Here is a 12868-nt window from a genome sequence, read left to right as displayed (position 1 = left end):
GGTGCTAGGAATGTAATTTTTCTTTTTGCTTATCTTTTTCCAAAATTTTCTACCAACACTATTTCTATATGCCTCAATATTTGCTTTAACACCAAACAAAATTACAATATAATGAAAAACCACTGCTCTTAGGTAACAACCCCCCAAACATAAGCCCTTTTTTTTAGAGGGAAGAACTAATAAAGCTTTGCTTTCCATGAGGAACCAATAAGTGTTTTTCTTTTCAATAAGAAAGCTAACTGACTTACTCCCCTCTTCACTTTGCCACCAGGAAGCTCAGAGTCAAAATTTTAGTTCGGTCATTCAATTAGCTTTGTCCCTATATTTCAGAGGCTTCTTGGTTGGGACATTAAATGACAGAATTATAACATTTAAATTCTCTTTCTGAAATTAAAAAAAAAAAAATACAAAACTGCAACTCAAGGACATAATAATTTTAAAAGTCTTAGAAGTTCCATAATAACAAAAGTCAGTTTATTAAATGCTCAATTCTCAAAATTATATATATATTTTTTTAATTATTTAAAAAAACTTCCATGCCCTTCCATTCCCCTCCCTCCAAACTAGGTATTGTCCAAGTTGTATCAAATGCCACAAAGTCTACCATGCACCCAGAAGCAGAGAAGACAGGAGGTCCAGAGGACAAGGTATGCTGGGGTCACTACTCGCACTGCAGAGTCCACGCGAGTTAACTCATGCTGGGGGCAAAGAATGGAAAGAGCTAATACACAGACAAAGCAAAAGAACGAAATGCGCAGCCTGACCAGAGACGTTTACAATTTATACCAACTTACAAATATTTAGGGTGCCCACCAACTCCGAGAGAACAGACCAAACTAACCACATGAAGGAAGACCTCTGCCGGGGCCTCCTCTCCCTACAACCTCCTCTCAAGAATCATTAGGAAGCCCAAACAGCTTCACAGTTCCGGCTTCCCGGCTGCTGTCATATTTGCCGTCTTTGTCATCACAGGCAAATGCCAGCAGAGGCCTTTTGGGGTGCCATGCCACTGTGAAGGTCGGAGACTCACACTGTACCTCCCATAGTTTGTCCCCTATAGAAAACAATAGAGAGAAACCAATCAATACGTTCAAAACGAAGGACACATTCATTAAGTACTTACCTGTATTAACTGGTTTAATCCACCTACTAATCCCATGAGATAGATACAACTATTACCTCATTTTACAGAGAACCCCCAGGCACAGAGAGCCCACAAGCCAGCGGAGGACAGAGCCGGTTCTGAGCACAGGTGGGTTAACTCAAGAGCAGGTCACTGAGCAGGAAAGTGTCTCCGCGTCACAGGGACATGCAGTTACATGAAGGATCTGCATGGCTGGATGCTGGACAATGTTCACCACAACGTGACTAACAGGAGCATTCTTTACATAGTGGAATTTCAAGTTCTTTACTTTCCTCTTCGAAGTTTTCTATACAGTTTTAATCTTTTTACGAAGAGTGTCACAGATTTCCAAAAACAATAAAGCAACATTAAAAAACAAATCTGAGGAAATTCTTTTGCAAAATGAATACTCTCCTCCCATTTTTCTATTTCCAGCTTCTGTTGTTTTTAAAGCAAAAACTTTATAATTCCTCAAATTTTAAATAATATTTTTTCAAGTTCATATACAGGCAAAAGATAAAGAGAAATATATCACAACATTTAAAACAGGTGGTATTTAGAGAGTGGGACCCCAAGTGGTGCTTTTTTCTTCCTTCTACTCTGTAGTTTAAAGTTTAAATAAATCAAAATATTTTTCTAAATCACCTTCCTCAGACCTGCCTGTTTATTTCTTAACTCTTTGCTTCCTCACCACCTGGCAGTGACAGTCAAAACAGAAACATACTTGTCTAAAGGAGACAAATTCATTCATGATCATGCTGGTGAAGTAGTCACATGCAGAGATGAGATCACAAGAGAAGTCCTGACTGCCAAAGGTGAAAGACGGTAGATTCTCATGAAGTTACCTGTCTCCACTTCAGCAATGTCAATAAAATGATCTTCCGATGCTGACGCCAGCATTTTCCCATCATGGCTGAAACTGAGGGTTCTTACAGGCCAATCCAGCCTATGATACAGAGTGGACAGAAGAGACAAGAGAATTACCAAGTAAGAGGAGGGAACAATGTCACTCACGATGAAATAAAATTAATGTACCCAACAAGGGAAGTGCTGATAGAGTCACTTACCTGGAAAAGCACCGAACACACACTAACTCATCCACATCCCAGAGGCTGACCAAAGCATCTGCACTTCCTGTGGCAAAGTACTTCCCCATGGGGTCAAACTTGATACAGATGCAGTTGGAAGGATGGGCGTTGATGGACTGCACAGGCTTCAGTTCTGGGTAGCTGAGAAAAAAGACAGCGATCAAACTGCAGAAGAGGACTGTGGTGCTAAAACAATAATAGGAGATGATGAAGAAGAAAAGCAAAGATAATAGACCACCACCAAGAACTGTCATTCAAGATAACATTCCTGAAATAAAAAAAGATTTTGAACTACATTATTTAAAAAGCACAACACATACCTGAGACTACAGAACCAAAGTTACCAACATCGAGACAGAGACTAGCAAAATTAGTGGACTTTAAAGAAAAAGAAAATTAGATTATTGGGCTTTCTGACAACAACACTTAATGCCAAAAGAAAATGGAGTACCATATTTAAGAAAGATACACAAGCGAGAAAACGAGCCAAGGATTTTTACATCCAGCAAAACTGAATTTCAAATATAATGATACAAACAATAAGCACAATAACGTTTTATAAAATCTGTAAGTTTTAGAATTACGTAAATAAGTTGTAATAAAAACTCCAGGAATAATGTTCCCATGAACGCTTCCCGAGGAATCTTAACTAGAGAATGAGCTTCAATTAAAAAAATGACTAGAGACTTATAAGGACTGGTGCTGAACACTGAATATACAGTTTCTTGCAAAAACTATACATGGTTTAAAGAGAGGGTATAATATGTAACATGTGCACATGCTTACAACATATAGTACTATTTTTTTAATGGGGGAAGAATGGAAAGAGCATATGCAAAAACCAAAAACATTTTTTGTTTCAAGTCATCACATTGGTGGTAGCAGCAGTAATATTGTTGTTCTGAGACATCTATATGTTTACCATGGGAGATAGGTAATAAGTAACCATCGGATATTCTAATTCTATGATCCCCTGTGCCCTTGAGAACCAGAATACTCAATTTGGGAGGAAAGAAATATATTTGTAATATAGAAGAGGTTTAGTAAAATCCCTGGAGTCCTCAATTTTGATTGCAAGTTATCAATGTGAATTCATAAGGTATTTTATCTTTAAATATATACACACACACACACACACACACACACACGTAATTCCTAGGCCAACCCAGCAGTAATGAACATTCCTAACTTCAGTATCATTTCTCAGTAAAAGAATGTAAGGCTCCTTTTTTTTTTTTTTTTTTTTTTGAGGTGGAATCTCACTCAGTCGCCCAGAATGCTGGAGTGCAGTGGTGCAATCTAAACTTACTACAACCTCCGCCTCCCGGGTTCAAGCGATTCTCCTGCCTCAGTCTGCCAAGCAGCTGGGAATATACACGTGCGTCACCACGCCCAGATAATTTTTGTATTTTGAGTAGAGACAGGGTTTCTCTATGATTGCCAGGTCTCAAGTGATCCACTCGCCTCGGCCTCCCAAAGTGCCAAAGTGCTGGGATTACAGGCGTGAGCCACCGCACCCAGCCAGAATGTTAAGGCTTCTTGGAGAATGTTCTGATTAAAGGTCTGGGGCAAGAAATGCACAAGATGAACTTGGAACATCTTATCAAACCAGAGAGCAAAAAAACAGAAGACGATGGGATTATGTCAAAAAAGGTCTCAGGAACCAACTTGAAGAGGTTCTTATTGGCCAAAGATGGGATAATTTGAGCTTCAACAGGCATAACAATTACAAGAGATGGAAACACACCAACTATGTTTAAAAACATCAGCCCGTAATGATTCTTTAAAAAAAAAAACACCTAACTGCTCATCTTTGGAGGTAGCAGGAAACAAAATCATTATCTGACAAACAGAATCAAAATTTTATCCTGCCTTCCCTACATGAACTACACTACTGGGTAACCACATCGCAGATGAGAAGCAGCATCTCTTTACACAACAGTCCAACACATAAACAGCATATGGAATCAGCAAAAGCCAAACTGGGAGAATCTCCACAGGTTAACAGTCTGGTTTTTCAACAGCTACGTTTTCGGAAGTTTCTTTTGAGTAATTTAAGAGATACAAAACACATATCAATTTTTTTTTTTTTTTAATGAGCAAAACTAGGGTATCTAGGGGCTGCACATGTGGTAGATAAACTATGAAGAAACACTATAAAAGTCAGGATAGTGTTTGCTTTTGTGGAAGGAAGTTGTAATTAGGACAAAACACCTGGATGGACTTCTGGGATGGCTGGAAAGAACTACTTCTCAACTTGGGCGGGGTTGCACAAGAGTTAAGCCTATAAGAGTTCATTAAGCTATACATTTATTTTATGTGGTTTTCAATATCTGTGTTTTATAATAAAAAGATTTTTCTTAAAAAGTTATAGAATCCCCATTGCCTACAAAATAAAACCCAAGATACTAAGCATAAAATAAAGGCCTTTTATAATCTGGTCCCAAATTAGACTTCATCTTCCCATTATCATGCCCTCTCTTATTTCCCTTATCTGCCACCACTCCCCCAACAACCCTGACCTAACCACTCTCCAAGTAAGTCATGCTCACTCACACCTGCTTTGTCAGTTATGTGGTTCCCTTTTGCTTATTCTTAAAATTCTGCTCATCTTTCAAGATCAAGCTCACAAGCTCCCTCCTTCAACCCCCCATATAGTATGTCTGTTCTTTCCATGGAATTTCACAGCAAACTCCTGGCCTCCCACTCACAGAACCTATCTCACTTGGTCTTGCATTGTTCACCTGGGATAGTGGAAGGCTAGAATTGAACAGACCTGAATTTCAGCTCCACAGTTTCATTCATTTACAGAACAAATATTTACTAAGATCCTACTACGTGGAGCAGGTACAGGACTAGACATTAGGGATTCAACACTAAACAAGGCAAACACCATCCCTACCATCAAGGAATTCACAGTCTAACAGGAGACACAGGCAAATAAACATGCAATTACAATATAGAAAGAAAAGTGCTTCCTACAGAAAGTATATAAAATACGCCTCTAACCTACCTCTAACCTTGGGGTAGCGGGGGAGCTTCCCTGAAGGCAAAGTGATATTTCAGTTGAAACTTTAAGAGTACGAATTAGCCAGAGGTCGGGCTAATCACCTGAGGTTGGGAGTTGGAGACCAGCCTGACCAACATGGAGAAACCCTAAACTACAAAAAATACAAAATTAGCCAGGTGTGGTGGCACATGCCTCTAATCCCAGCTACTTGGGAGGCTGAGGCAGGAGAATCGCTTAACCCCGGAGGCAGAGGTTGCGGTGAGCCAAGATCACACCATTGCACTGCAGCCTGGGCAACAAGAGCAAAACTCTGTCTCGAAAAACAAAAAAAAAGGGAGTATGAATTAGCCATAATTCAAGGTGCATCCAGTTCTAGCACACACTAGCTGACTACTGATGTAACCTCTCACCCTCAGATCCTCATCTGTCAAATGAGAAGCAAATCATCAACCCCTAGAATTTCTGTAAGGACTCAGTAAAATATAAAGTATATAAAATATACAGCTCAAATGTACTTAAGACAGGTTAGGATTCTCTCTTACTATTTGTGTTTTAAGCTCCTTCAGGATAGGCTCACATCTAATTCATCTCCATATCTGACACAGCACCCAGCACAAAGACATGACAGTCCCCTAAGCTAGACCCCCTCACCTGAGGATGTTGATACAACCATTGCCATTTGTCAGGAAGAACATATTATTGTCATTGTTCCAGGAGATTTCGTTGACCTCGAACTTGAACTGCTCTTCTGCTTTGGAACGGTGTGTCTTGGCATCAATAAAGGTCACCACATCATCCTTGTTGCCTACAGCAATGGTCTGCCCATCAGGACTCCAGCAGATATTAATGTTCTCCCCTGGGAACCCAGACATAATCAGCAAGATAATCTGTTTGCTCATAATCCTCTACAAGTTTATTGCACTATCCTAGAAAGAAGACCAGAGCTTTCTTCCGGGCTTACTCATTAAAGTCCTAGACAATGGAAGGGAGCTACCACTTACGATTCAACAATAAGTCCAGAACTTTCATCTACACATTTCCCCATTTGGTCTTCACAATACTCCTCTAACATACACTTTATTATCTCCATTTATAAAATCTATAAGATTTTATAGATGAAGGAAATAGGAGATAAGACGACAAGCCAAAGTGTCAAAGCTATGAAGTCAAAGAGCTATGAAGTGGCGCGATCTCGGCTCACTGCAAGCTCCACCTCCTGGGTTCACGCCATTCTCTCGCCTCAGCCTCCCGAGCAGCTGGGACTACAGGCGCCTGCCACCACACCAGGCTAATTTTTTTGTATTTTTAGTAGAGACGGGGTTTCACCGTGTTAGCCAGGATGGTCTCGATCTCCTGACCTCGTGATCCGCCCGCCTTGGCCTCCCAAAGTGCTGGGATTACAGGTGTGAGCCACCGTGCCCGGCCGAGCCAAGATTTTAAACCCAGATTTGACCCCAAAGCCCCCTTTTCTCTTACACCAGCATTTCTCAACTCCAGCCATTCGCATGCCAACATCACAATTTTTGTCCTATCCATTAAACACTATACTTTTCTTTATTCAAGATTTTTCTTAAAATTGATTCAAAAAAGTTTACTTAAATAAATTTAGCAGCCAGCTGTGGAGGCTCAAGCCTGTAATTCCAGCACTCTGGGAGGCCAAGGTAGGCAGATCACTTGAGTCCAGGAGTTCAAGATCAGCCTGGGCAATATGGCAAAACCCGTCTCTACAAAAAATTAGCCAGGCATGGTGGCATGTGCCTGTAGTCCCAGCTACTCAGGAGGTTGAGGTGGGAGGATGGCTTGAGCCCAGGTGGAGGCTGCAGGGAGCCAATATTATGCCACTGTACTCCATCCTGGGTAACAGGGCAAGACCCTGTCTCAAAAATAAAAATAAAATAAAATAAATAAAAATAAAATAAATTTAGCTTCAACTGAATAATAAATTCTATGTGCTAGTTCTTCTAGTAGACATTAAGATATTTGCAAAACTGGTTTTTAATGTTCACCCACGCATCACCTGAATCACTCATGGATCAGCAGCTGTATACTTGGGGAAAAACCACACCATTCCGCCTCCAGAGATAAGTCTTGTCAACAAAGTCCAGTGGCCCACACTGAACACATCAATTAAAAATTTCACCAACTTTTTCCATTCTAAAACGCATATTTTCTCACATTTTAGTATCTACACTGTATCTTAAAATGTATCAGAAAGCATTTCAAAATTTTGGGTGTATCACAGTTATTTACCAACTTTCTTTCCTAATGGAACATCTTACGATCAATGAAAACTCAGAGTCCCATACAATACCGGCCTCAATACTTACAACAGAGCCTATAAATGTACTGCACAACTTTCTCCCAGATCACCAAGACCATCCAAGTTTCAACCATTCTAACTCATCAGAATTTTCCAAATTCTCCATGCCTTTGCACATGCTGTTCCCTCCTGGAAATGTCCCATTCCCCACCCACAGCACCCTGACCACTCAACTCCTATGGCTACCCTAAAAGTTTGCTCAAATTTGGTGAGGCCTTCCCTGGCTCCCCTAGGCAGACTTTTGTTTTCATTTCTATTCTGGGTATCCACCTTGCAGACCTCTCCATTATAAAATGAACCATATCTTGCTATGTTATTTGTATATATATGTCTTCTCCCCGCAGGGGAGGTCCTTGGAGCTGGAAACTCTTATTCAGCTCAGGATGTCTCATACACAGCTGAGTGCCAGGCACAGAAAAGATATTCGGAAAATGGTTGTTGAATGAATCCAAACAGCTTATCTTCCTATTGCCCTCTCTCTGAATAGTCACCTTTAGTGTTCACAGTGGCAATGCATTTTGTAGTCCTCACATCCCAGATGCGAATGGTTTTATCTCCGGACGCCGTAACAAATAGGTCAGGATTACTTGGATGCCAACAAAGCTGGTCCACACTATCCCCATGTCCCCGATAATTGTTTTCTTTGACCTGAAAGAACAGAATCCAGATGTGACTTCACATAGATGTAACTGCCTCCGCATGTAACTTTATAAGCTTATTCAAACCAAAGTATGCTGGGACCAGTAAAGATCTGGGTAATTCAGAATCCAGTTCCTCCAAGCCCTTTCTCCCTTCTCTTCTCCGCAGGCCTTCTGAACTGTTTTTCTCAGCTTCCACACCTATGCCCTTACTTTTGTGCCCTCCCTGGCCTTCTCCTCCTTCCTGGTTTTCCACCCTTACTCTACCACCAACGTACCACCAACGTACCACCAACGTACCACCACCACCACCACCACCACCACCACAGCCCCTAGCCACTTCTTATCAGCACAGGATTCGACTCCAAACGAGTAAGGCTCCCATCGCAGCCCTGTCCCATCCACCCTCTCCTCACCTTCACCCGCCATCGCCAACCTCCTTACTTCCACACTCTTCACACGCCCCCAGTCTTCCTCTCCTCACCCCTCACGACCCCGTCACCCCCACACTCCACCTTCTCCCTACTCCCTCCTCATCTCCACACTCCCCCTTTCCCCTTCCCTCAAACCCACTCTCCTTTCACCCCCGCGGCTCCGTTCGCCCCCATTCGCTCTCCCACTACCGCACCTCACTTCACCACGGCCCCTCTCCCTAGCCTGAGCCGAGCCCCGGCAGCTCACCAACCGGTCCTTCTCCAGCAAGAAGACGCTGGCCGTCTTGTCGAAGGACCCCGAGGCTAGGCGACGCCCGTCGCAACTCCAGGCCACCGAGTGCACCTTGGCGCTGTGCGCCAGAACTCGCGCGTCTTGCTGTGGCCCCGGAACAGCTCCTGCATCCCAAGCACGTAGCGCGACGGGCCGCTGCTCACTGAGCACCACGGGGCCATCGAGCCGGGACCGCTCTGGCCCAACGCCGAGGGCCCCATGGCTGCAGCGGGGACCGCCATGCCGAGCTCCCCAGCTTCCAACTCACAACACTGCAGCAGCCTCCACGGCGCAGTCAGTCCTGGCGCCGCTGCCGCACGCATGCGCCCGGAAGAGGGACGGCCCCTCTGCGCAGGCGCGCTGTACCCCGCCCCGGAAGGGACTACAAATCCCGGTATGCAGCGCGTGCCCGCGTCTGCTTACTTAGTAATATTTGGTTCTTTTAACTCCAAATATGCTTCACACTTAACGATTCCGAGTTTTTTTAGTGTTCTTATTTCTCCCTTACCTATTCTTTGGTAGATATATGTGTATTCCTGTTTAATCGAATAAAAGAACCAACACTAACCTTCTAAACAGTTAACTCATCACCTTTCTTCTGGGGTTGTTCCCTAATCCCTAGTCCCCTCCCTTAAGAGCAGAAAGCTCTGGTCTTTTTGCTGGAGAAGGACCAGCTGGTGAGCTTGTCCCATGAAAAGGGCTAGCGGGTGTGGAGTGAGGGAAGAGGTGTTAAGAAGGGGTCTGGAGGTTTTGTTTTTTTTTTTAAATAAAAATGGATTTTTTGTTTTTAAAAGGTAATGGCAGAGGCGTGTGAACCAGAGCAACTCTATCTTAAATAGGAACTGGGTGAAATGAGGCTTAAACCTACTGGGCTGCATTCCCAGACTGTTAAGGCATTCTAATCACAGGATGAAATAGGAGGTCAGCACAAAATACAGGTCATAAAGACCTTGATGATAAAACAGGTTGCAGTAAAGGAACCGGCCAAAACCCACCAAAACCAAAATGGCGATGAGAGTGACCTCTGGTCATCCTCACCTCTACACTCCCACCAGTGCCAGGACAGTTTGTAAATGCCATGGCAACGTCAGGAAGTTACCCTATACGGTCTAAAAAAGGGAGGCATGAATAATCCACCACTTGTTTAGCATATCATCAGGAAAAACCATAAAAATGCGCAACCAGCGGCCCTCGGGGCTGCTCTGTCTATGGAGTGGCCATTCTTTTATTCCCTTTACTTTCTTAATAAACTTGCTTTCACTTTGCACTGCGGACTTGCCCTGAATTCTTTCCTGAGTGAGATCCAAGAACCCACTCCTGGGGTCTGGATTGGGACCCTTTTCCTGTAACAGTATTACATGCACATGATTGTAAATATAAAAATAAAAGATATAGAGTGAAAAGTAAATGTCCACCTGCGTATCCACCCCACCTCTCATATCTCCCTTAAACCAGTGGCTTCTTGCTGGAGAAAAAAGGGGTGGTGAGCTGCCAGCGCCAGTCAAGGCCCTGGAGAAGAGCTGAGGGGGGAAGGTTTTGGTGGTGAGTAGTAGTGGTAAATGTGTTTAAAAACCCAATTTTTAAAAGGCAACACGTGCACTTGGTAACAAATGTAAAATGTATAAAAGGGAATAGATTGAAAAGCTTCCCTCCATCCTGTGTCCCCAAACTTCTCTTCTGAAAAAGTTAAATTTCTTGTGTGGCCTTCCAGAGACAGTGTAAGTAAGCACCTGGGCAAGGTAGATAGGTGTGTGCATAACCTCTCCCAACACACTGCCAAAAAGGTAGCATTCCTTACACAACTTGCTTCCTATGGTAAATATGTATAGGAAATCATTTCTTGTCAGAAAATGCAGACGTCTCATTCTTCTCAATGGTGGCAGTCTTTATATGAATATATAATATTCAACTGATCCCTTCATGAATTTGCTTTTAGAACAATATTAGAACAATATTGCAGTGAATATCCCTATACAACCTTCATTGTACACATCTGCACTTTTTTATTTGGATATATATTGCCAAAACACCTATGAAGAGGTTTAATAATTTATACTTCCACCAGCAACATAAGAAAGTGTCAGAAGGTCCTAGGTACTAAATGAGTACACATATAAAGCATATGGCTCTCAGAAGGACCGTAGGAAATAAGGTCCCTCTCTTTCCCCAATCTTTTCCCTACCCCATTGCAACCAGAAATTCTTGGAAACTACAAAGCTTTTCAGACTCCAAGAATACCACTGAAGTCTCTAAAATCTTGGAGTAGGAAACTATTTGGTGTCTAGTTTTCTTCCTTACCCCTCTTTTTCAGGAATCTTCATATATATATATATTTAGATATTTTTCCTACATTTTCCCTGTATTTTGTATTTTTTTTTTTTTTTTTTTTTTTGCTGCATACACTGAGGATTTACAAGTCCCTACCAAGATACAAAAACTGAAGTAGAAAGAGGTAAAATGTCCTGGTCCAGGTCACATGACTATCATGTGACAGAGCAAAGGTTAGAACTCAGATGTTACTGACTCTAAAATCTACACTCTGATTCTCAGTATCTGAAATCACGTAAATGTGATTCTTTGTATTTCTGCATTCATTTTGTATTTTTGTATGTAATGTATATTTTTTATTTTTTAATTTTTTTTTGAGATGAAGTTTTGCTCCTATTGCCCAGGCTGGAGTGCAGTGCGATCTTGGCTCACTGCAACTTCCGCCTCCCAGGTTCAACCAAGTCTTCTGCCTCAGTCTCCCGAGTAGCTGGGATTACAAGCACCGCCACCATGCCTGGCTAATTTTTTGTATTTTTGGTTGAGATGGGGTTTCGCTATGCTGGCCAGGCTGGTCTCGAACTCCTGATGTCAGGTGATCCACCCGTCTCTGCCTCCCAAAGTGCTGGGATTACAGGCATGAGCCACCGCGCCCGGCCTGTAATGTATGTTTTTTACTTAATTTCCCCTTGTGTTCCTTTTCTATATTCTGTATACATGGATGTTAGAAACTCAGTTGTGATAAGTATATCCGACTGCTCTTGCCTGAGACAGAAACTGGTATAACATTTCAAGTTGGACTAGCACACATCTGGGGGCAATGTTGAGACTAAAGTCAGAGTCTCTCAAAGGGGAGATAAAATTGAGGGGAACAGAGTCATGGGCCATTTTTTAAAACTTTTTATTTGGAAAAATTCAAATTTACAGAAAAGTTGCAAGAATAGTAAAAAGCACTGCTATTCCTGTGACACAGATTCACCGAATTGTAGCATTTTGTTCCACTTTTTTTCTTTTTTTAGTTTTATTTTTATTTATTTATTTTTTTGAGACACAGTCTTACTCTGTCACCCAGGCTGGAGTGCAGTGGCGCGATCTTGGCTTACTGCAACCTCCGCTTCCCAGGTTCAAGCGATTCTCATGTCTCAGCCACCTGAGTAGCTGGGATTACAGGCGTGCACCCCCACACCCGCTAATTTTTTGTATGTTTTGTAGAGATGGAGTTTCTCCATGTTGGCCAGGCTGGTCTCAAACTCCTGGCCTCACCCGCCTTGGCCTCCCAAAGTGCTGAGATTACAGGCCTGAGTCACTGTGCCCAGCCTCCATTTGCTTTCTCTACATATATCTACGTTACTACTCTTTTGTCTAAACATTTGGCAATTGTGCATTAGTCCGTTCTCACATTGCTATAGGGAACTACCTGAGACTGGGTAATTTATAAAGAAAAGAGGTTTAATTGGGCCAGGCACGGTGGCTCACACCTGTAATTCCAGCACTTTGGGAGGTCAAGGCGGGTGGATCACGAGGTCAGGAGTTCAAGACCAGCCTGGCCAAGATGGTGAAACCTCGTCTCTACTTAAAATATAATCAAATTAGCCGGGCGTGGTGGCGGGCGCCTGTAGTCCCAGCTACTTGGAAGGCTGAGGCAGGAGAATGGTGTGAACCCGGGAGGCGGAGCTTGCAGTGAGCCTAGATTGCACCACTGCACTCCAGCCTGGGCTA

At 42.7% G+C, this 12868-nt stretch overlaps 1 pseudogene across 1 annotated transcript; it reads right to left on the bottom strand.

The window, feature by feature from the left end:
* Positions 1-452: 452 nt before the first annotated feature.
* On the bottom strand, positions 453-9460 carry LOC728554 (THO complex subunit 3 pseudogene; annotated as a pseudogene). Its single transcript, NR_003615.2, has 6 exons — positions 8861-9460; positions 8033-8189; positions 5873-6077; positions 2191-2352; positions 1969-2069; positions 453-1054 (listed from the first exon to the last, which is right to left on the bottom strand). The product of NR_003615.2 is annotated as a THO complex subunit 3 pseudogene (transcript).
* Positions 9461-12868: the final 3408 nt, after the last annotated feature.

Source organism: Homo sapiens, chromosome 5 (assembly GCF_000001405.40).
Source record: "Homo sapiens chromosome 5, GRCh38.p14 Primary Assembly".
In the NCBI taxonomy this organism is placed as follows: domain Eukaryota; kingdom Metazoa; phylum Chordata; class Mammalia; order Primates; family Hominidae; genus Homo; species Homo sapiens.
The sequence above is the reverse complement of the archived record's forward strand: the minus strand, read 5'-3'. Positions and strand labels throughout refer to the sequence as shown.